The 22,315-nt window shown below is 48.4% G+C and overlaps 1 protein-coding gene across 10 annotated transcripts in view; it reads left to right on the top strand.

Annotated features, from left to right (window-relative positions):
• The window catches only part of COL22A1 (collagen type XXII alpha 1 chain), a 325,807-nt gene that overhangs the window by 31,605 nt on the left and 271,887 nt on the right, over positions 1-22,315 (top strand). For 8 of the 10 annotated variants that reach the window (XR_001745487.2, XM_011516884.3, XM_017013151.2 and 5 more), the window contains exon 3: positions 4,121-4,687. Coding sequence is in view for 9 of the 10 variants with exons in the window: in XM_011516884.3 (XP_011515186.1) it covers positions 4,121-4,687 (567 nt within the window). In the remaining variant the exon portion in view is untranslated. The remainder of the gene's footprint in view (positions 1-4,120; positions 4,688-22,315) is intronic. The other 2 variants (XM_017013150.3, XM_011516886.4) reach the window with 2 other exon arrangements.

Here is a 22,315-nt window from a genome sequence, read left to right as displayed (position 1 = left end):
GAAGTGTGTGAGGGAGTGTGAGAGAATATGTGTGAGTTTGAGGTAATGTGTGAGGGAGTGTGAGAGTGTGTGAGTTTAAGGGAGTGTGTGGGGAAGTGTGTGTGAGTTTGAGGGAGTGTGAATATGTGTGGCAATGTCAGTATGCATGTGAGTGTTAATGTGAGGGGATGAGTGTGTGTTCCTGCGAGAGGAGGAGAGAGCGTGACAGAGAGAGGGAATGAGTTGCTTTAACACGTCTTGGTCAGTCACATCCTGGGTTGTGAGCCTGTCTCTACCAAGTGTGTGCAGGTTTGGAGCTCGGGGAGGAGGCAGGGGTGAGGACCTGGCTGTGTTGTCCTGTGAAGGTTTTGGGACACATTCCAGGGGAAATGGACACACTGGAGCCCACTTAGCAAAGGCATCCAGGACAGTGAGAAAAGCGTGTTTATGTAGTAGACCCGGTAGTTGGGAAAGTTGACTGGAGATGAGAAGGCCCGGGGCAGGAGGGGAGAGACATGGCAACATGGTTTTGCTAACCTGTATGAGGGCCCCTGCCCTGGGGGAAGGCACTGGTCAGTGCTTAGATGTGAAGGAGGGGTCAGGGTCCACAACCCCGGCATAGAGCCTGCACACTGGGGTCCCCGATACACAGACAGGTGGGATGTCCATATACTGCCCACTGGGCAGCCAGGGAGACCACCTGTCACTGGATTCAGGAAGCAAAACGCTGAGCCCATCTTATAGGAAGTGATCTATATACTTTTTTCTTTTTAGAGACGGAGTCTCGCTCTGTCGCCCAGGCTGGAGTGCAGCGGCGTGATCTCGGCTCACTGCAAGCTCCGCCTCCCGGGTTCACGCCATTCTCCTGCCTCAGCCTCCTGCATAGCTGGGACTACAGGCGCCTGCCACCATGCCTGGCTAATTTTTTGTATTTTTAGTAGAGACGGGGTTTCACCGTGTTAGCCAAGACGGTCTCGATCGCCTCACCTCGTGATCCGCCCGCCTCGGCCTCCCAAAGTGCTGGGATTACAGGCATGAGCCACCACACCCACCCAGAAAGTGACATTCTAAGGCTTTTCTCCCTGGACTTAAAAAAGAAAAGTTGACATTATTTCTTTATCGAATTTACAGAGTTGTCTCTTGCTTTTTTTTTTTTTTCTGAGCCTCTCAAAGCCTGGCTAGCTGGAAAGACAGTAATAACTGTAAACATCCTGTTTTATACGCAGGGAACATGAGATTTCTGTGCCCATCTAGCCAACCCCAAATGCACAGCCAATGCACAGGATTATCACATTTAAAAGCAAAAAAGCCCTAGGGTGGTCTCCTCTGTGCCCTCATTTCATAGTAGAAAATGGTGGGCCCCAAAAGAGCACTCACCTGCCAGGAGTGGCATAGCCCCTGCCTTGGCGGAATCAAGGCCAGAAGCCAGGGCACCTGCCCGGGTTCAGATCTCTTCTCTCCACATCACACTCCAGCCTCACGGGCACACAATCCCGCCTGTTCCCTGGCCTCTGGGAGAAAATGTGCCCTGAGCTCAAAAGGGCCCCTTGGGGAGGCCTCCTGAACAAATGAAACTTCTGTAGCCTTCAAACAAATTTGTTCTAGGATTACAGTCTGCAGGCCGGGTTCTGCCTGGCCCTCAGCAGCAATTATCCTGAACAGCCTGGGACGTTATTGTCCCAAAGACAAAAGAATGATCTTTTGTGTCAAGGAAAAAAACTCCCCAGGAATGATCTCCAAGTCTGCACATCTGGTCAAACACACTCCAGAGTTCTAATCCTGTTAGGGATCAGTCCTGCTAAGGCTGGGATGTAACTCAGTGCCTGACATGCAGATTGTCCCTTGGATTTTCAAAACTAGAGGGAAAGGTAGGTGTGGAACATTCAAGGGTGGCATTGGCTCGGGTCACATAGGGAAGCATTTGTGGGAGTATGTGTGTAAATTCGTATAACTTTATTGTTTTTCTGTTTTTTGAACTTTATTGCTTGCAAATATAAGAGCAAAAAATACAAAAAATAAAATTCACTCATAGCTCTGCTTGCCAGAGGTAAGCAAGTGTTTCCCACTCAGTTTCTGTCATGCATACATACATACACAATCGCGCGTGCACACACACGCACAGGTTTTCTTTCCAGAAATTCTATGTTATACATATCATTTTATAAACAGCTTTTCACACCCAATGGTATATTGGAAAAGTGTATCCATGCTGGTAAATAAGGATTCCTCTTCAGCCATCACTGTCATGGCTGCCTAGCAATGAATACATCATGATTTTTCTTTAAGTAATTTATTTAATTCCACATAGGTGATTGTGTATTATCTCCAACATTTTTTTTGCCATGTTGCTGTGAATTTCTTTATACATCTTTTTCTTTTCCATTTATCTGATTGTTTTCTTGGGATAAATCACTAAGTTTGGAATTGGTGGATAAAAAGATACCCTCCTTTATGAGACTTCAAAGCCCCTGAGAGAGGGTGTGACAAGTCCATGGCCACTTGCTGAGCAGGCAGGTGCATTCTCCTCCAACTCTCGTGCACCCAGCCACTACCAGACCATTCTACCTTTCCAATCTGGTATTTCAACAAAGTGTTTTTTTGTTTTGTTTTGTTTTGTTTTATAGCCAAATGTTTGTGCCTGGTGTTCCCAGAGGCCTGGTCCTCTGCTTCTGTTTGGATGGCCAAACCCCACCTTCTGGAAGAGTCAAACTAGGGCTTTTTCTTCCTCTTTTTCTTCTTCTTCTTTTTTTTTTTTTTTTTTTTTTTTGAGAGAGTGTCTCACTCTGTCACCCAGGCTGGAGGGCAGTGATGTGATATTGGCTCACTGCAACCTCCACCTCCCGGCTCAAAGGATTCTTGTGCCTCAGCCTCCTGAGTAGCTGGGATTACAGTCATAAGCCACCATGCCTGGCTAATTTTTGTATTTTTAGTACAGACGGGGTTTTGCCATATTGGCCAGACTGGTCTCAAACTCCTGTCCTCAAGTGATCTGCCCGCCTTGACCTCCCAAATTGCTAGAATTACAGGCGTGAACCACTGCACCTGGCCTTAAGACCAGGGCTTCTTGATAGTTCCTTGTATATTTGTGCAGCATTCTAGAGATTGGAAAACACTTCCTCTTGTATTATCTGATTTTAAAGGGCTGAGTAGTTAAATATCTAACAGGAGAGCGCTTGCTAAATCAATTATGTTCATCTGTGCAGAGGACTCTTTGCAGCCATGGAAACCAGCATGATCAAACCAGAAATGGATTTCTAGCTTATAACTAAATGCAGGGAGAACAGCGTATGTATCAGTGTGTCTGGTACAGTCCCATTCCTATCAATAATTATATGGAAATAAAAAATAATTGAGTATATATGAGTATATATACCATGCTTTAACAGTGGTTATCTCTGTGTGGGAATATGGGCATTTAAAACATCTAAACACCTGTTTTGTTTTGTTTTTGAGACAGAGTCTCGCTCTGTCGCCCAGGCTGGAGTGCAGTGGTGCAATCTCGGCTCACCACAAGCTCCGCCTCCCGGGTTCACGCCATTCTCCTGCCTCAGCCTCCCGAGTAGCTGGGACTATAGGCGCCCACCACCTCTGCTGGCTAATTTTTTGTATTTTTTAGTAGAGATGGGGTTTCACTGCGTTAGCCAGGATGGTCTCGATCTCCTGACCTCGTGATCCACCCGCCTTGGCCTCCCAAAGTGCTGGGATTACAGGCGTGAACCACCGCGCCCAGCCTAAAACATCTAAACATCTTTTGATTGCATTTTCTGACTTCTTGGAAATGGGCATACATTATTTGGGGTAGGTTGAAAAATAATGAAAAATGGAGTCACCTTTTAAACAAAATAAAAGTGAAGAGATTGAGGCATAGTGCTGTGCGGTGGGTGTTAGTCATTTTAATGTGATGCTACCTACTGTCAGTTGAGCCTCACAGTAGTCTTGGGGAAAACTCATCATTATTGCCATGTGAAGGTGTGGAAACTGAGGCTCAGGCCTTTCAGGCAGCCCAGGGCCCTTGGGTCATGAGAGACAGGGCAGGTAGGTATTTGAGCAGGTGTGTGTGACCCCAGTGACCTGTATACCCCAGGACAGTGTCCTTTCCATGCCCATTTGCCCTACGCCACCCCTTCTCTCACCCCTGCAGGTTGCAAAAGTGTCCACTACGATCTGGTCTTCCTCCTGGACACCTCCTCCAGCGTGGGCAAGGAGGACTTTGAGAAGGTCCGGCAGTGGGTGGCCAACCTGGTGGACACCTTCGAGGTGGGCCCCGACCGCACCCGTGTGGGGGTCGTGCGCTACAGCGACCGGCCCACCACGGCCTTCGAGTTGGGACTCTTTGGCTCGCAGGAGGAGGTCAAGGCGGCTGCCCGGCGTCTCGCCTACCACGGGGGCAACACCAACACGGGAGACGCGCTCCGCTACATCACGGCCCGCAGCTTCTCCCCACACGCCGGCGGCCGCCCCAGGGACCGCGCCTACAAGCAGGTGGCCATCCTGCTCACCGACGGCCGCAGCCAGGACCTGGTGCTGGACGCCGCGGCGGCAGCCCACCGCGCTGGCATCCGCATCTTTGCCGTGGGCGTGGGCGAGGCACTCAAGGAGGAGCTGGAGGAGATCGCCTCAGAGCCCAAGTCCGCCCACGTCTTCCACGTGTCCGACTTCAATGCCATCGACAAGATCCGGGGCAAGCTGCGGCGCCGTCTTTGTGAAAGTGAGTGCGCCCGGGCCCCATGCGGCCCCTCCCAAGAGTGACGCCCCCTGCTGAGCCCACGGGAGGGGTCCTCGGGCAGATAGGGATCCTACGGCCGGCTCCAGGAAGGCGGGGGAAGTAGCAGGTGCAGAGGCTGAGGGGACCCACATTCTTGGGTTTGGCCACACAGGGAACCTAGTAGCATGGGCACCCCCTGGACATTCCTGTTGTCAGAAGGATATCTTCTCCCATCCAGAGGCAGAGGTCGCGGGCAGAGGCAAGAAGGGGTTTGGGATGAAAGAGGGATGGGTTCTAACCACCCTGCCACCTGGGAGATACTTGGTGTCTCATCTTTACCTCTGATGTGGGAACATCCTCTACTTACTGCCCAGAGCTGTGAAAGCTAGAAACTGTGCATGCAAAGTCTGGCCTGAAGCATTGGGTATAGCAGGGTCTCCGAAGGGGCAGTGATGAGGGATCACGCAAGAAGCATTCAGGCTCCCTCGGCTCTTCCCAGCAGCCCAGAGTCAGTCATTTAGACACAGTCAGGAGGTGCTTATCCCAGAGGCCAAGTGCTGTTGACCTGGTGCCCTCTGAGATAACCCAAGGCCTCTAGCTTATTTGTCTGGAATCTGTTGATTGTGGCTGGGGGTGGGGGAGGGGAGGCAGAGGGCTGATGGCCCCCAGGGCTCTGACCTGGAAGCCTGACCTCCAGGATTTAGTGGGGGTCATTCTGAGGACAGCGCCCTCCCCAGGACAGGAAGGATGAAGTGGGTTTCTCATGTTCCAGACTGTCTCCAGCTTCTGCCTCTGCCTATTGCATTGGGGTGACATTTGTCCTTCTCCAGTCACAGTGGGTGCTGAGTAATCTTCTCCTCCAGGCCCGGGAGGGGTTGGGCTTTGAAGCCGGTCAGGCTGAGTGTGGAGCCTCAGCCTCTGTCTTGCTGATTACTGCAGGGGGCTGAACAACCCCTGGCTGGGAAGCCATAGGTTACACCTTGGCCAGGGGCAGGGAAAGCTTTGGGGGCTGGGGCAGCATGGAAGGTGCTCGTGATGAGAGCAGCTGGGTGTGAGTCAGAAGGGGAGGCAGGGGCCTGATCCTGGGGATGTGCCTGGCTTGCAGCCCAGTGAGAAAACAGCTAAACCATTTCTGAAACTGGGGTGGCTCTAGGCTGCTTTACCACAGTATGACCCTTTTCTCTGTGTTGGCTCTTTTAATCTCCACTTATTTATTCAACAGATACTTATCAGGGCTCTACTTTTTTGTATGGCCTTGTGCTGATTTCTGGGGCTACAGAAAAAGACAAGACACAGCAACCATTCTCAGGGTGCTCATAGTCTAGAAGGCAGGAAAGCCACATAAAAGGGAATGTGATACCGGGCAGGTAAACTTTAGCAGCGTCTCATGTGCCAGGTCCATGTGTGGTCGTGGTATGTGTGGGGATACTGAGAATGATGGAGGGCTCCCTGGAGGAGGTGGTGCTTAGGTTGTTTAGAGGATGGGCATGAACTGCATGGGATTGAGAAGGATGCGATGGAGTGGGATTAAAGGATGCCATGACATGGTCAATGAACCATGATGGGCCCGTGCAGCTGGGGAAAGGGAGGAGGTTAGGGCTGCTGGGCATTGCCAGATTGTCAGGGTCCCCATAAAGGGGGGCCTTGTGTGCTAAGGTGAGGACATGCTGGAGGGTTTATGCGGGGGTATGACATGGTCAGATCTCTGTGGGGAATGGAATGCCGCTGAACAGCAGGACAAAGGGAGGTCCTTCACAAGACTGCTGGAGAAATTCAGATAATTGTGAGAGATCCAGCACCGATGACTTGGCCTGTGTTACAGAGGTGGAAATCGATGCCCAGAAGGCTAAGTGAAGGTAATCTACCCTAGAGCATGCAAGGCATTGGCTGTGGACTTCCCATACGTGACTTCACTGACCCATATCACAACCTTATAGGATAAGGATTCTCTCTTTTTTATAGATAAGCGCACACAGAATGCTGAGATCATGGAAGGCACAGCTTCAAGGCATGTTGGGCCCTCAGTTGTAGGCCTGAGAGGGGATGGGTTAGGTGGGGAAAGAGGAGTGATAGGAGACATCCCAGGCAGGACTGGAGCTATGGGATTGATCCAGGTGCACACTGGATCAATCAGAAATCTGCACAGATAAGAACTAGGCACAGGGTCACAGCCCCAGCTAAGAAGTAGAAATTCAATGTGGTAGCTCAGGAACAATGAATTCTACCTGTCATTCCAGAATCCAGAACCCCTTGATGCAGAGTGCTGGGAAACAAGGTTACTTCCGGATCCTTCCCACTGTTTTGTTTGTTTGTTTGTTTTTGCCATCCTGACAGTCTTGGTTCAGAGTGGTTCTGGATCTCAGCAGGAGCTTCATGCCCAGGGATGGCTCTGAGAATGGCAAAGACAACCCCAGAGAGGTCAAGTCCCTGGGATGTGCCACACAGTTAATAGACACCAGGGCTGGGAACAGAACCCAGGCCTTCAGACTCCAGGCCTCTCCCCCATGCCTCCAGAACATGGGCTTCACCATGACTGGTCTTGGTAAAGCAAATGTATTAATATTATCACTTTCAATGGAAAGGCCAGAGGTCAGGCAGCTTCAAACGATGAAACCTGGACCCATTCATTCCACTCTCCATTTCCAGGTTCCTCTGTCTTGGTGTTAACTCTGTTCTTGGCTTGCCTTATGTGTCAGAATTATACTGGTTAATGGGTTTCAGTGAAGAGACTCTGATGAAGGTTTTATTTAGAGGAGGGTGAGATCAACAAGGGATACTGAGGTACGCAGGAACTAGTGATGGGAGAAGCCAGCTGAGAAGGGATGGAGTATGTCACTAGAGTCCATGAGGGCTGAGATTGGGTGGCCCTGTAGGAACCTTAGTCATGAAGGCATACAGTTCTCTTGCCAGACCACAACACACAGGCAAAGAGGAGCAAGAAAGAAGCCCCTGCCCCGTATCTGCTCTTGCATGGCTGTTCTTCCACTAGCCTGACCCCGTCTGAAACCAGCCAAGCAAGGCCAAGTGATGCAGTCACAGTGGCTGGCCTCCTGGGCTGGGAGCAGGGCAGAGGCAGAGAATGGACATGGGAGGGCAAGTTGGGGACACCACAGCAAGACACCTCTCAGTGGATCTCAGAGCCATGTCTGCCTGCAAACCGGGGAGGAGAAGAGATTATTACCCAGCAGGCCTGGCACTCGGTCTCACTGGACTACAGTAGGTCATGTGACCATCCCTACACCAATCACTAGTCTAGGAGTGGAAATAGGTTGAATATTTTGGGCCTGTCACAAGACCTTGTCTAACATTTGGGAGTAGAGTTAGTTCCCAGCCCAGCTCCCTCAAGGAAAGGGATCTGATACATGAAGGAAAACCAGGGAGCTGTTACCAAGAGAAAGGGAAACCCTACACAGGCCAGCCCAGAACACACGTCCGCCCTGATCACGTCAAGAAAAGCTCATGGATTCTGTGAAGACAGGGCTTCTCCAAAATCCTAAAATTAGATGTAAGATTTAAGTGAATGCTCAGTCATCTAAAGGGAATCAGTTTTTGTAAATACAGCTGTGAGATGAAGAGGGCCTGGTCTATTCTGGCTACAAATGAAATGAAATCCCCTTACAATTGCTTCAATTAGAAACAAAGCAAAACAAAATAAAAGAGCTAATAGTAACATATTGGAAAGCAGCTAGTGAGATTGAATCAGGCAGCATGGCAGAATTTGAACACCAGAAATCTCTTGGTACACAGAGGATGCCTGTGGGGGACTTCACAGCCTGAGGAGGAACTAGTCTCAATAGAGGCCACTTATTGATGACCTGGAAAATGGTAGACTAAAAATATCAGGGTTTTTTTTGATGTAGTAGTCATTGAGTTAGATCCAACTCACTCATTCATTCAATAACCATGCATTAAAACAGCCATTCAATTCAATGTCATTTATCCATTCCTTCATTAACAGTCATGCATTATAGTAAACATTCCCTTCATTCATTCATTCATTCATTCAACAAGCACATTTAGTCATTCCTCTGTGCTGGACACAGGCCAGGTGCCCATGACGCAGTAGTGAATCTGGCATCCTCTTTGTCCTCGAGAGGGAAACTTGTCTACTTGGGGCAGCAGGAAAATGGCAGACAATTACACAACGGAATGTGTAATTTTATATATGCATTTGTTTACCTGCCTAGTGTATGTCTTCACACACAAGGATATAAGCTTCGCAAGGGCAAAGTCTGTTCCTTGTGGTACCTCAGTGCCTAGAACAGAGCCTAGTATGTAGGATGAGCTCCTAAATATTGTTTAAAGGAAATAAGGGCAGTGGCCTGACAGTTAATTCTGTGCTTGCTGTTGTGATGTGCGCATTAGAAGTTCATGGGCAATGATCTGTTTCACTCCCCACCCCACCCCCGCCAAAGAAAAGAATATAAGAACATGAAGCAAATCTGAAATTATAGCCAACAATAATGGAAATATTTAATGCATTCACATTTTGATGGACAGAGACAAATGGTTAGAATTTGAAGGCTGGTGCAGATTTAGAAAAGGCAGGCTGGCTGTTTTATGGTTGATGGCACAGAGGCACATAGGGGCTGAGTGGCCTGTCCAGGATTGCAGGGGACAGGTGTGGAAGTCTTTCTTTTGTCGGAACCTACTGCCTAAGAGTGAGTGCTTTCAACCATCCTTCTGCAATCTTACTGCATATCTAATTATCAAACCCTACCCAGTGTCTAGAACAGATGTGGCTCATACCTGGTGGCCAGTGGCTGTTTGTTGAATGAATGACTGAAACGAACTTGGAAAAAAATCAATATCCCCATTTTACAAATGAAAAAGAGTATCAGCAGACTGAGGAGTGGAATAACAACAGTAACAGCAGTAACGCATGGCCAGTGTTATTACAGACGCATTTCAGGCATCATATCTGACCTCCCTCCCCAGTGGCTTTCCCTAAGGTCTGCCGTGATGCTGGTGGCTATGTGTTTCCTTGGCTTTGGACACATTCAGGGAAGTGCCCCTGTGTCACGACATCAACTCCTGCTTCTCCATTGCCTGACAGAGGCTCCCAGGGGAAGCAATCTCAGCCTCAGCTTCCTGCAGTGTGTGGGGCGGAGGCCGAGGACAAGGCCAGCCCCGGAGCATCAGCTATAATTAAGAGTTTTCTCCACCCCAGGCTTTGTCGTGGCCACAAAACGAGCTTTATATAGCTTATCGGGTCACTGTAAGTGAGCCTGTGGAATGCCAGCTGGCCACAGCCGAGAAGGCCTCCACCTACTTCTATTTTGAGGACACACTATGGTGGTCCTCTCTCTCCTGTCCCCACAGCCAGGGAGTCCCTTGCTGCATCCTGTCTTTTGCACTTGGACTTTTGGGCTGGGATGTTGATGATCTGGATTAGAGCAAAGAAGCAGCCTCTCCTGTGCTCCCGTGGTGTTTTCTCTCTCCGGATGTGTGGTCATCCCCTCCCCCTCTCCCACCCTGTTGTGGATGTGTTCATAGTTAGCTCTATTCTCATTTAATGAGAGTTTTGACTCCTGGGCGCTTCCACTTGCCAATACGACTGAGGGTGGGAGTAGAGGGAGGCTTCTTTTGTGTGAGGAGATTCATTTTCCCATTTTATTGTTCACCTGTGGTTCTCGCTGGGAAAATGTCAGCATTTAAACTCCAGCTCTGCATTTTGATGAGTGTGTGATTCTGTGCAATTGACTTAGCCCTCTGCGTCTCAGTTACCTGTAATGTGGGGTCAGTTCCTCCTTGCAGACGGGTTTGTGGCCATGATCAGGGAGATTAGTCTGGTAGGTGTACTGATACTTATGGAGGGGCTCTCCTTTGCCTTCTGTTGTAGTTAGCAGGCAGAACACTTAACCTTTCAAATAAATTAATTATGAGGTTCACTTGAAAGTCTGTTTTGCACATTTTTTCTTTCCGTAGTGCAAAACACTTTTAGTAAATAATACAACTTATATATATAGTTGGGAATGGACTACATAAACATTTACAGGTAATATCTCACAACAGCGGATGCTTTTACCCACTCTTTTCACATATTATTGACTTATTTTTTCAATGCATATTCATTGAGCTTCTATTATCTTTCAGGTACTGTTCTGAAGCATGAGAGTTACAGGGGTATGTGACATACATGATCCCACTTTAAGGGTGACACTTTCCAGAAGGGAAAGGAGATGGGCAGTCCATCAAGTGATGGGCTAGGTCATTTCATGTGGTGATAAGTGCTTCAAAGCTGAGAAACCCAGTGAAGTGGGTCTCTTGGAGGAGAGAAAAGTTGCCTTGATCTTGGAATGGTGTGAAACAACTGTGCAAGCCAAGATTGATAGGCTGAGTTCCAGGCCCGGGGAACAGGGACTGCAAAGGGACTGAGTGGGAGCAGGACTGTTCTCATCTGTAGGAGGCAGGACTGGGGGCTCAGCCATGTGGCTTACCTTTCCCAGTTCACACAGCTCGGAGGGGCATCCGGGGGCAGTCCTGAATCTTCCCTCAGCGGGAAGAGGGCCTACCTCAGAGCCCCTGCAATTATCTTTCCCTTTGAAGACACAGCCACACATGTCCCAGGGGACGGCAGGGAGGCTGGCTGTTGGCAAGTCTGGGTGGCGTGTCTGGCCTGGGAAATTCTAGGCACTGTCTCCCTCTAAGCAAGAGTCTTGTACAGGAATCAAAGTGGGCATGGCCCTGCTGGTGGCATCACCCCTCGTGACCATGCCTTCCAGGCCACACTCCCACCTCTGTCCCCACATCCCTCTGCCTGGCCTGAGACTCCCTGGTAAACTCAGGGTGCACACACCCCACCTACACACACCCACACACACAAACACCGTGCGTACCAGGCACATCACACACCCTAGATAGAAGCACATGCACACAGACACCCCTCACAAACCACACCCTCACATACACACCCACTCACACACACATCCGCATATGCACACACCACACACACTCTCCACACTACACATACCACACACACCATGTATACTATATGCATACACACATACACAAACACTATGCACACCACACATACTACACACATGCCACATAGATATGCACCACACACCACATGCAAATACACGTTTTGCACACGCCACATGAACACACTGTATACCACAGACACTCCATAGACATATCACACACATACATGAACACATGCACAAACACCATTTACAGTCTGCACACCACACGCACCACATACACACAGTCTATATCTAGGCACATGTGCACAAACACCACACACAGCACACTCCCCACGTGCACACACTCCACATACACACCCATTCACCTGTACACACCACACACACTGCACACTACATATAGCACACACACCCCACAGAAACAGAAACCATGCATACCCCACACACTGCACATAGGCTATACACACCACATACACACTACACACCACACATATATAACACACATTCTATATACACACACCATACACCACATACAAATGCACAGTTCACACACACCACATATACAAACAGCACCCACACAGACACCATAGACACACCCACCCACCTACATACATACAATGTACACAGCTCCACACACCATTGGCCATGTACGCAACCCTCCACACCCACACACAGGCACACCATGCACATAAGACCCTCCACACAAACACAGACACATGCTCCACACACACCACATGCACACACATCACACACACATGCATATTATATCCATGTGCCCACATAATACTCCACATATGGCCTCACGTGCCACCCTCCACATACACACCAGGCACATAACACCCCACACACATATATACACTACTCATACACACATGCAGCACATATACTACACACACTACACACACATCTGGGAACATGTATGTGACCACAAAGTGACCCACCCAGCTGTTCCCTCTGGGTGGACCCGAAGGCTGGGAGGGATGGGCAGCAGTGTGGGTTGTGGGTTTGGAGCCGCCACGTAGAGGTCTGTGGCCTGGCACTTGGGACCAAGTCAGCCCAGGCCCTGCCCTCCAGCTGCAGGTCACCAGGAGTTCCTCTTGGGAGGCTTATTAGGACTGAGGTCACCAAATAGAAATCGTAATTGAATTACTTAATTATGATTATGTGCTGTGAAATTTTATGTGAAAATTACTGAAAATGATGGAAAACTAAAACCTCTCATCATTTGTTTTAAATGTGTGTACTTCAAAGAAGAAAAACAGTTTTCCAACCCTGCCCAGCCAGACCTAAGCCTGGAGATGACCCCTGGAACCGTTGGGTCACTGACTCCTGCCTCTGCCTAAAACTGTACGACCCATGTATTAGAAGCAACGAGCTTGTGCGACACAAACACTTCACTGTCAGCGCATTTCAGACCAGGGCATGCAGCCCATCTCATTCTCAATGGTACAGGTCTCCTTTGGCTCCGGGCAGCTTGCACCATCACCTCTTCAATCATTCCCAAATTGATGGCGATTTATCTTGCTTCCAGGGTACGGTTTCTTGCAACAATGCAATATGAGACTTTCTTATACTGAGCTCCATATGCACCTGTGGATTATTCCTGCAGGTGGATTCCTAGAAGAGGTTTGCATGGTCAAAGTAGCTCCATCAGTGGTTGAAGCTGGTTAAACCACAGCCTCTGGAGCTGGGTCACCCAGCTGGGCCTCCCAGCTCTGTCTCCTTCCTCTCTGTTAACCTTAGGACAGTTATGTAACCTTTCTCTTCCTGGTCTCTTCATCTGTAAGAAGAGGATGCTGGGCTGGGTGTGTGGCTCACGCCTGTAATCCCAGCACTTTTGGAGGCTGAGGCAGGTGGATCACCTGAGGTCAGGAGTTCAAGATCAGCCTGACCAATATGGTGAAACCCCCATCTCTACTAAAAATACAAAAATTAGCCGGGTGTGGTGGCAGGTGCCTATAATCCCAGCTACTCAGGAGACTGAGGCAGGAGAATTGCTTGAACCTGGGAGGCAGAGGTTGCAGTGAGCCGAGATTGTGCCATTATACTCCAGCCTGGGTGACAGAGTGAGACTTCGTCTCCAAAAAAAAAAAAAGGAGGACAATGATGACACTCTCTACCTTGTAGAGTGTTTGAGGATCTATTGAGTCAATACCTGGGGAACTCTTGATACAGTGATGGCCCTGAGTGTGGGCTCTTACTGTATACATTTACACACATGATGTATTTACTTGTGTGTGAGTGTGTATTTATTATGTACATATACTTTCAGGAAGATGATCGAGTTGAATACCTTTCACTTGGCACAGTGTTTCTTAACTTTTAAATTATTATTATCTACCCCCAAAGGAGCCTCTGTAAATATTTGTTTCCTAACTATCCCCCTTCTCTGAAACTGCAATACCATACATGTATTATATACCCCTGTATGCTGTTGGGTAGGGTAGCACTTTGGAGGGCCTAAGGCTATTATAGTATCTAAGATTCTCTCCCACTCCTACCCAAACTGAATTTTGCCCCCTTGGAAGTGATGTTGCCCGCTTTGAGAACCCCTGACTCGGGATGTATGAGAGGATCACAGGATGAGAAGTCAGGGAAGGCCTGGGATTGGAATCTGGTCCTCTCTTCCTCGGAGGCCATGACTGCATAACATCATCTTTGGTGGGTGGACTCAGGTCTAAAAGCATCAGTGAAATCCAGGCTTTCTTGTTTATTTTGACAAGCTAGTCTTTCGAACTTTAGTTTTCCCTGTAAAATAAAGACAATAGGCCGGGTGCGGTGGCTCATGCCTGTAATCCCAGCACTTTGGGAGGCTAAGGTGGGCAGATCACGAGGTCAGGAGATCAAGACCATCCTGACCAACATGGTGAAACCCTGTCTGTACTAAAAATACAAAAGTTAGCCAGGCATGTTGGCATGTGCCTATAATCCCAGCTGCTCAGGAGGCTGAGGCACGAGACTCGCTTGAACCAGGGAGTCAGGTTGCAGTGAGCCGAGATCGTGCCACTGAACTCCAGTCTGGCGACAGAGTAGGACTTCGTCTCAAATAAATAAATAAACAAACAATAAATAAATACAATAATAATACTACCTACTCTCTAGAGCAGAGGGAACACGCACATAAAATGCTCCCACTGCAGCCTGGCACAGTCAGTGCAAATCACAGGTTAACTCTTGTTATAACATGTCATTGCTAAGACCTGTGGTCTCATGTCAGCGGGGCTAGAGTGGAATCCCAGGTCTGCCACTTGCCAGCCAGGGATCTCAGCCAGGGACTTCACCTCTCTGAGCCTCGGTTTCCTTGTCTGTAATCTGAAATGATAGTTCCCAATCTGGCAGATAGTTACCAAGTTGTGGTTTTTACTGTGGTTCTTGTTATCATACTTAATATTTTTATGGCAAATCTATATAAAAAAGAACATGCCACAAATCAAAGTGCTTGGCAGTAACGTGACTGTATCTGAGCACCACGTCACAGAGAGGGAGTTGAGCAGAGTCGAGAAGTTCATCTGTCTTGAGTTCTGCATGGGGAACTGGTCCATTCCAGCAGGGAAGACCCTCCCTGATCGAATTCAAAGGACAGCAAACTACAGCCCAAAGGCCAGATCACTGGCCAGAAACCAATTTTACAAATTGTGTTACTGGACCACAACCATGTCAACTTGTTAACGTATTGTCGATGGCTGCTCTCACACTGGGATAGCAGGTTGAGTCTTTAAGACAGAGACGCATGATCCAAAGGCTATTTACTATCGGGCCCTTTACAGGAGTTTGCCAACATCGGATAATATACTCTGAGGTGATGACTGAGAATCTGGAGTTGCTGCCACCAGCTCCCAAGGTGCCCTTGGATAGGACATTTTGTGGGGGCCTCAGTTTCCTCCCTGGAGTGCTGAGTGGTGTGGCTCCTCTTAGAGGGTCTCTCTTCTCTTCCCTTCCATGTATTGGTCAAAATGCATGACCAGCGGCCCACTCTGTGTGACATCTAATGAAAGATATTCCCCTGCCTCCCATTTTTAGAGGTTAGCCATGTATTCTTAAAAAACCATTACACCCTCCTAGGTTTTGGACATGAATCCATGTCCCAGTGGAACTAGAAGGGGTTTGAGGTTCAATATGAATCAGCGCTGCCTGGCCATGGGGCCTTGTACCAGCCACATCACTCTGTCCCTGGTGCCATCCCGAGTAAAGTGGAGACTGCAGCATATAGGTGTGATGATCTCATTGACTAGGGTCATGCCATGCACAAGGCTTCAGCTCATGGAGACTCTGCATTTCACATGGGGGTTTTTGTTTTGAGTTGAGAAAGAGATGAAATATAGAGTGGCGACAATTAAATAGATAGTTGTAAAAGGACATACACCTAAACATAGACAATCTCTATAAGATAGTTGTAAAAGGACATACACCTAAACATAGACAATCTCTATATAAATATATGTCTCTATATAAATGTGCATTTATGTAAGAAATTCATGGAGGAACTCTGCACTTCTGAGTGCCTCTCATGTCCTGTAGCTAACCTTATCCTGGCAGAACTTGTTTTACACTTGTCAGAGAATGAGTAGGGATACGGGGTTATGCGATGTCTTGGGGATTTCCCAGAAATGTGGTTGATTAATCGTGATGCTTCTGACACAACCTCGCAGTTACTGGAAGACTGAAGGAAAACAAGTGTCAAAGCTGCATGTTTTAGGTGACTTGTTTTGCTGTAAGCTATGTGTCCTGTCTTTGTCCTTTTGATTATGTTTACCCTGGTTTCTTTGAATTTACCCCCACACAAACACATGCACAAACACACACACACACAGAGTCATACAAACATACATAGACACAGGCATACAAACACACACACACATATACTCACACACAGGCATACAAACATACACAAACATACACACACATATACACTCACATGCAGGCATACAAATAGGCACACACATACACATACACAGGCATACAAACATACACACACGTACACTCACAGGCATACATATACACACACACACAGGCATACAAACATACACACACACACAGGCATACAAACATACACTCAGAGGCATACAAACATACATATACTCACACACAGGCCTACAAACACACACACACATACACTCATACACAGGCATACAAACATATACACACATACACTCACAGGCATACCTATACACACACTCACACACCAGCATACAAACATACACATACACTCACACACAGGCATACAAACATACACACACATACACTCACACACAGGCATACATACACACACATACACTCACAGGCATACAAACATAAACATGTATACTCACACACAGGCATACAAACATACACACACATACACATGCATACAAACATAAGATACACACATACACTCACACACAGGCATACAAACACACCACACACGTGCCTACAAACATACACAAACAAGACACACACATACACTCACACACAGGCATACAAACATACCCACACATAGACACACATGTGCTCACATACATACTCACTACACAGCCCCACTTATATACACATACTCAGATGCACACACATAGACAACCAAACCTAGAAAGGGATGCTCAGGACAATAAAGACTGCTTCCTTTTGCCCCTTACCCTGGAACAATCTACGTGTACTTGCCCAGAAAAAAAAAACTCTGTTAAAACTCTGTCTGCATTTTGACTGTCTGTCTACTCTTGGGAAATATCTGCTTCCATATTCTGGAAATCCAACCAGTCAATTTTGCTTGATATGTAATAGACACATGGGATGTCTATTTGTTTATAATAGGTTCTTATTTACATCAATCTAACAACAGATGTGAACATAAATGGCTGAAGGGGTGGAAGGTAATAAGAGGAGCTCATTGGCACTGCCCTGGGGTGCCACAACCCCCTGCAGGTGAGTTCTGGCTCCCCTGAGCACCCAATGCCACGTGTGTTTTCTACTGAAGACATTTTCTGTCTTGGACCCCCAAATCTGGGGAATAGAAAGACATCTTCCTGCCTGTGCTCAGGTTGGGCTGAGAGTGAAACCCCCTAGCTGAGAAGGACTGTGCTGGCTGAGATGAGGTTGGAATGTGGAGCCAAGCACCTCCATCCATTGCCTCTGCTCATCTGGGCTGAGAGTTCTGGGCCAGATCTGGCTCTGCACTCCGATCGGCCCTAACCAGAGCAGCCTAGGGCAAGACAACAAAAGGAAGCTTACGTACTTAGTGTGCTCCTATTTATATCTTGTAGATCAAATTTTAAAAGTGTCCTGGAAAATAACTTCTTTCCTTCTAACTTGACAAATATGCCTGCACAAAAACCTGGGAGGCAGGTTTGAATACAGCATCCTTGGACTCCTTAAAGTCACACGCAAAATCATGGTAGCCCAGGGAGAGTCACACCCAGGCTCCCAGCCCCAGTCCGCGGCCTGGCCTCCTTCTCTTCGTAACTCCTGCTTGGTCTTGAGCCAAGGAGGGCCTCATCTGCATGTGTGAGGACCCCCTGATATATAAGATCAAGTTCTGTCCACAAACCTGACAGACAGCTGCCCCTTAAAGCCCCCTGGGCCCAGGAGACCCCAGGAATGGTCCAGTCCACCCTCAGGAGTACAGATGGGCAATGAGGCTGTACTTTAGAAGGAGAATGGGCCAGGTTCAGACCGTTTGGGCAGGGAGGTCCAAGGTCCAGATCCTGAAGTGCGGTCTAGAAGATGAGCATGGGGTCCAAATGGGAATGGTCCCTTGGTCCCTCCTCTTCCTCTGTGGGATGAAGTAAAACTGGAGGAGGTCCAGAGGAAGGCCCTAAGCTCTTCTGTGCCCAAGAGCGGCATTGCTGTTTTTCTTTTTTTCTGGGGAGGGGGAACAAAATGGAATTGAAAGAATACAGTTTGTGAAATCTGATAGGTATGTATCTGATAAATCCGAGAGCGGAAACCCTTTTCCACTGTTTATCTGTTGTGTGGATTCGGGCAGAAATCTGGAAAACAGCAAGCAAAAATCTCCTGCATAGACACATTGCAAAGATTCAGTGAGAGAGTATTTGTAGATTATCTATTATAAGTGAATCTAGACCCCACCTCACTGCCTCCTACATTGTCCACTTCAGAGAGGGGTTAACCAGAGCCCAGAGAAGGCAGGAGAGCAGTCAAGTAAAACTGCAGGAGGCAGAGCACAGCCACGGAGCCCTGCAGGCTCCCCGCACCCACTTCCGCGTTGCGTTCTCACCCCTCCTTCCTGGCAGCCCTTGATGCACAAATGTACCCTTAAGGAGTGAAGATGACTTGCTCAGTGCTATTGCTTTGTAGATTGGGACTCAGGTAAAATGGACCCCAGAGACTATGATCCATGTACCCCTAGGCCCCCAACACCATCCCTGAGCAGAGGTGGGGCTGGGATGGTTTCCCAGGCTGGAAGTCAGCTCATCGCCCTCCTCACTGCGTCATGTACAGTTGACAGCGGAGCCCACAACCAGGGAGGGAAGAGTAGAATTGTCTCATTGGGAACTCTGACCGAGCAACAGATTATTTCAATGTCAAAAAACAACCGGCCTGTGCAACGTGCTATGCTGTCCCTAGATGGGCAACAGGGCCTGGGCTGAGGCATGTCCAAGGCTCCATGGTCCACAAGGTTTTGTTGCTTGGAAGCCACAAGTGGCCTTAGGCATCTGCAAGGAAAGAAACGGGGAGCCGGCAAGCCTGCACTGAGAAATAGTAAAAGTCTGGGCTAGCAGAGGACTTTATTTTATCTTTTAAACATCTTAACTCCTGAGACCCAGCAATTTATATCCTGGTTAAACACTTGGAAGTTTACACTGACAGACCTGGGCTTGAATTCTTGTGTTTGCCCTCTGTCCCCTCTTTACTTATGGCTGGTCCTTTGTGTGTTTAATTTCAGCATCTGTGAAATGGGTAGAACAAGCCCACCTATGACTGTGAAGATTCAATGCATTAATACAGGAAAAGTGCACCAGGGGACGCTGGGCACAAGTCTCCTCCTCTCTGATTGATGCCCTTGTGTCCTTGAGGACATTACAAGTGCTCTCTGACTCAAGTTTCTTCACCTGAAAACATGAAAAAAAAAAAAAAAAACCTTGTATCTTTGCTGCAAACATTTTGTTCATTGATTCAGGAAATACTGATTAAAGGCTTACTGTGAACTGGAAACAGTATCTGCATTTCAGGGTAGTATAATAGTTAATATGAGGGAAAAAAACAAGAGGAAAGATAGCCCTTAAAATTATAGCTGACTATTATAGCTGGAAGTTATAATAAGTGCTCTGTAGGACATAAACACAGTGGGAGGGTAAGAAAAAAGGAAGAAGGGTTCTGCTCAGGTCAGGGAATTAAGGGACCCTTCTGAGGACACAGCCAGGCAAAGGGCACTCCGGGTGGAGGAAACTATAAAGGGACAGCAGTGGCCTCAGCTCCAGCCTCCAGAAGCCAGTGCCCCGCAGCTTCTGGAGTAAACACAAAAGCGGTAGAGGACTGGAGTGGGGCACGGACAGAGGCCGACTTCCCTAGGGTGTTGTGGCCACGGGAAGAATTTGGAGTTTTATTGTTAGTTGAGTGGCAACCCATTGAAGACTTTGTTTTGTTTTACTTTAAACTTTATTTATGTATTTCTTCATTTTGAGACAGAGTCTCGCTCTGTCTCCCAGGCTGGAGTGTGGTGGTGCTATCTCGGCTCACTGCAACCTTCACCTCCTGGGTTCAAGCAATTCTCCTGCCTCAGCCTCCCGAGTGGCTGGGACTACAGGCGTGTGCCACCACACCCAACTAATTTTCTTTTTTTCTTTTTTTCTTTTTTTTTTTTTTTTTTTTTAGTAGAGACAGGGTTTCACCATGTTGGCCAGGCTGGTCTTGAACTCCTGACCTCAAGTGATCTGCCCGCCTCGGCCTTCCAAAGTGCTGGGATTCCAGGCGTGAACCACTGCGCCCCGCCTACTTTAAGCTTTACAGTGAAGGATAGAAAACATCCAGATAGCTGAACACATCTTAACTGTACGGCTTGATGAATTTTTTGCAAACTGTACATCCCCTTCCACCCATTGGAGCAGTTTGACCAAGAGAGGAGTACTGCTTTACTGTGCTTTAAGTTCACTTTGCTTTGGGTGGAAAAGCAGGTTGCGGTCAGGAGACACAGAGGCAAGGGGAGAAGCTGGGAAGAGTCTTAGGCCAAGTGAGAGGTGCCTGTGGCAGGGTTTCTGTTCTGCTGTTTATTGTGAGGTCCAACCCCAAAGCAGCAAGAGAGAGGGGAAGGAGGCGAGACCCAGGAACATGTACAGAGAGGGTGTTACAGAGATGGCAGCAGCTGCCCCAGAAGGCGGCGCTGCGCGTTGAGTCCTGCAGGATGTCAGCATTGCAGAGAGGCCAGCCTGCAATCAGTGCCCTTGGAATAGTCTATCTAGATAGGGGAGGGGGTGGATAACTGGTGGATAACTGACTTGCCAGCTCTTTTGTGTTTCTGACTGGTTAAATTCCAGCCTGAGGAGTGTTAAGCCCTCTGTAAGTTCAAGGCTGTGTACCTGGTCCCTCTGTGTAGCTATGGGGAAAGCCAGATCCCATGAGCTTCATGTGAGCCCGGAAGCGGTGAGTGGAGATCTAACCTCCTTGCTCCAGTTGGTCTGCTCAAGACCCAGGACCCCTGAGGCCCCTGTCCCAGCAGGAGTGATGGATGCCCTGTGGAACTGCAGCCTCCTGGGTCAGGGCTGAGGATGTTGGTAGTGTGAGGAGTTGGCAAACCAGCAGAAGTGGTTGGGGTCTCTGCTGAACAGCTGAGGACCTGGGGGTGGAGTGGGGTGATGGCAGCAGGAGCTGAGCAAATCTGGGGAGGTGCATGAGAGATGACAGGGCAGAGCCAAAGGGGAGGCAGTGGAGATGGAGGGAAGTTCCCAGAAGGAGTGGTATCTGGAGAAAGAACATACGGATGGAAAACAAACTCCTGGGTGCAGAGCCACCCTCATGGCACTTAAAGTTTGGGGGCAATAGAGGGAGAGAGGTACAGTGGTGCGGGAGAAAGTGAGTTGTCTTTTTGTTTTTTGGAGACAGGGTCTTGCTCTGTTGCCCAGGCTGGAGTGTAGTGGTGCCATCATAGCTTACTGCAGCTTTGACCTCCTGGGCTCAGGTAATCCTCCCACCTCAGCCTCCCGAATAGCTGGGACTACAGGTGTGAACCACCATGCCATGCTAATGTGTGCATTTTTGGTAGAGATGGGGTTTCACTATATTGCCCAGGCTGGTCTTGAACTTCTGGGCTCAAGCAATTTGCTCGCCTTGGCCTCCCAAAGTGCTGGGACTACATGAGTCACCACATCCGGAAAGTTGTTGTCTTGAACTCATTGTATTGTTGGTGGCTTTGAGGTCACACATATAGAAAATTTAAATAAAGCTTGAGATCCAGAGAAGCAGAGCAAGATGAGAGGACAAGATGCACAATTTGAGGAGGTGCTGGCTCGCTCAGTCTGGGTGCAATGTCAGGGTGACCACCTGGAGTGAGGTCTCTATGCTGTGCCTCTGGACCCTCCCTGGCTTAGCCCAGTCCTGACTCTGCCACAGAGGGGATACACATGTGGACACCTCTTACACAGAACTGAATGAGAAATCGATTAGATCAAGGTTAAAGAAGTGAAAAGAGAGCTAGGGTGAGCTCAGAGGTCTTGTGATGTGTAGAAGTCTGACGGAGGAATGTGAGCCAGCAGGAAGCTGGCAGAAACCTAGAGGGACAGGG

Source organism: Homo sapiens, chromosome 8, assembly GCF_000001405.40.
Source record: "Homo sapiens chromosome 8, GRCh38.p14 Primary Assembly".
NCBI classification, from domain to species: Eukaryota; Metazoa; Chordata; class Mammalia; order Primates; family Hominidae; genus Homo; species Homo sapiens.
The sequence above is the reverse complement of the archived record's forward strand: the minus strand, read 5'-3'. Positions and strand labels throughout refer to the sequence as shown.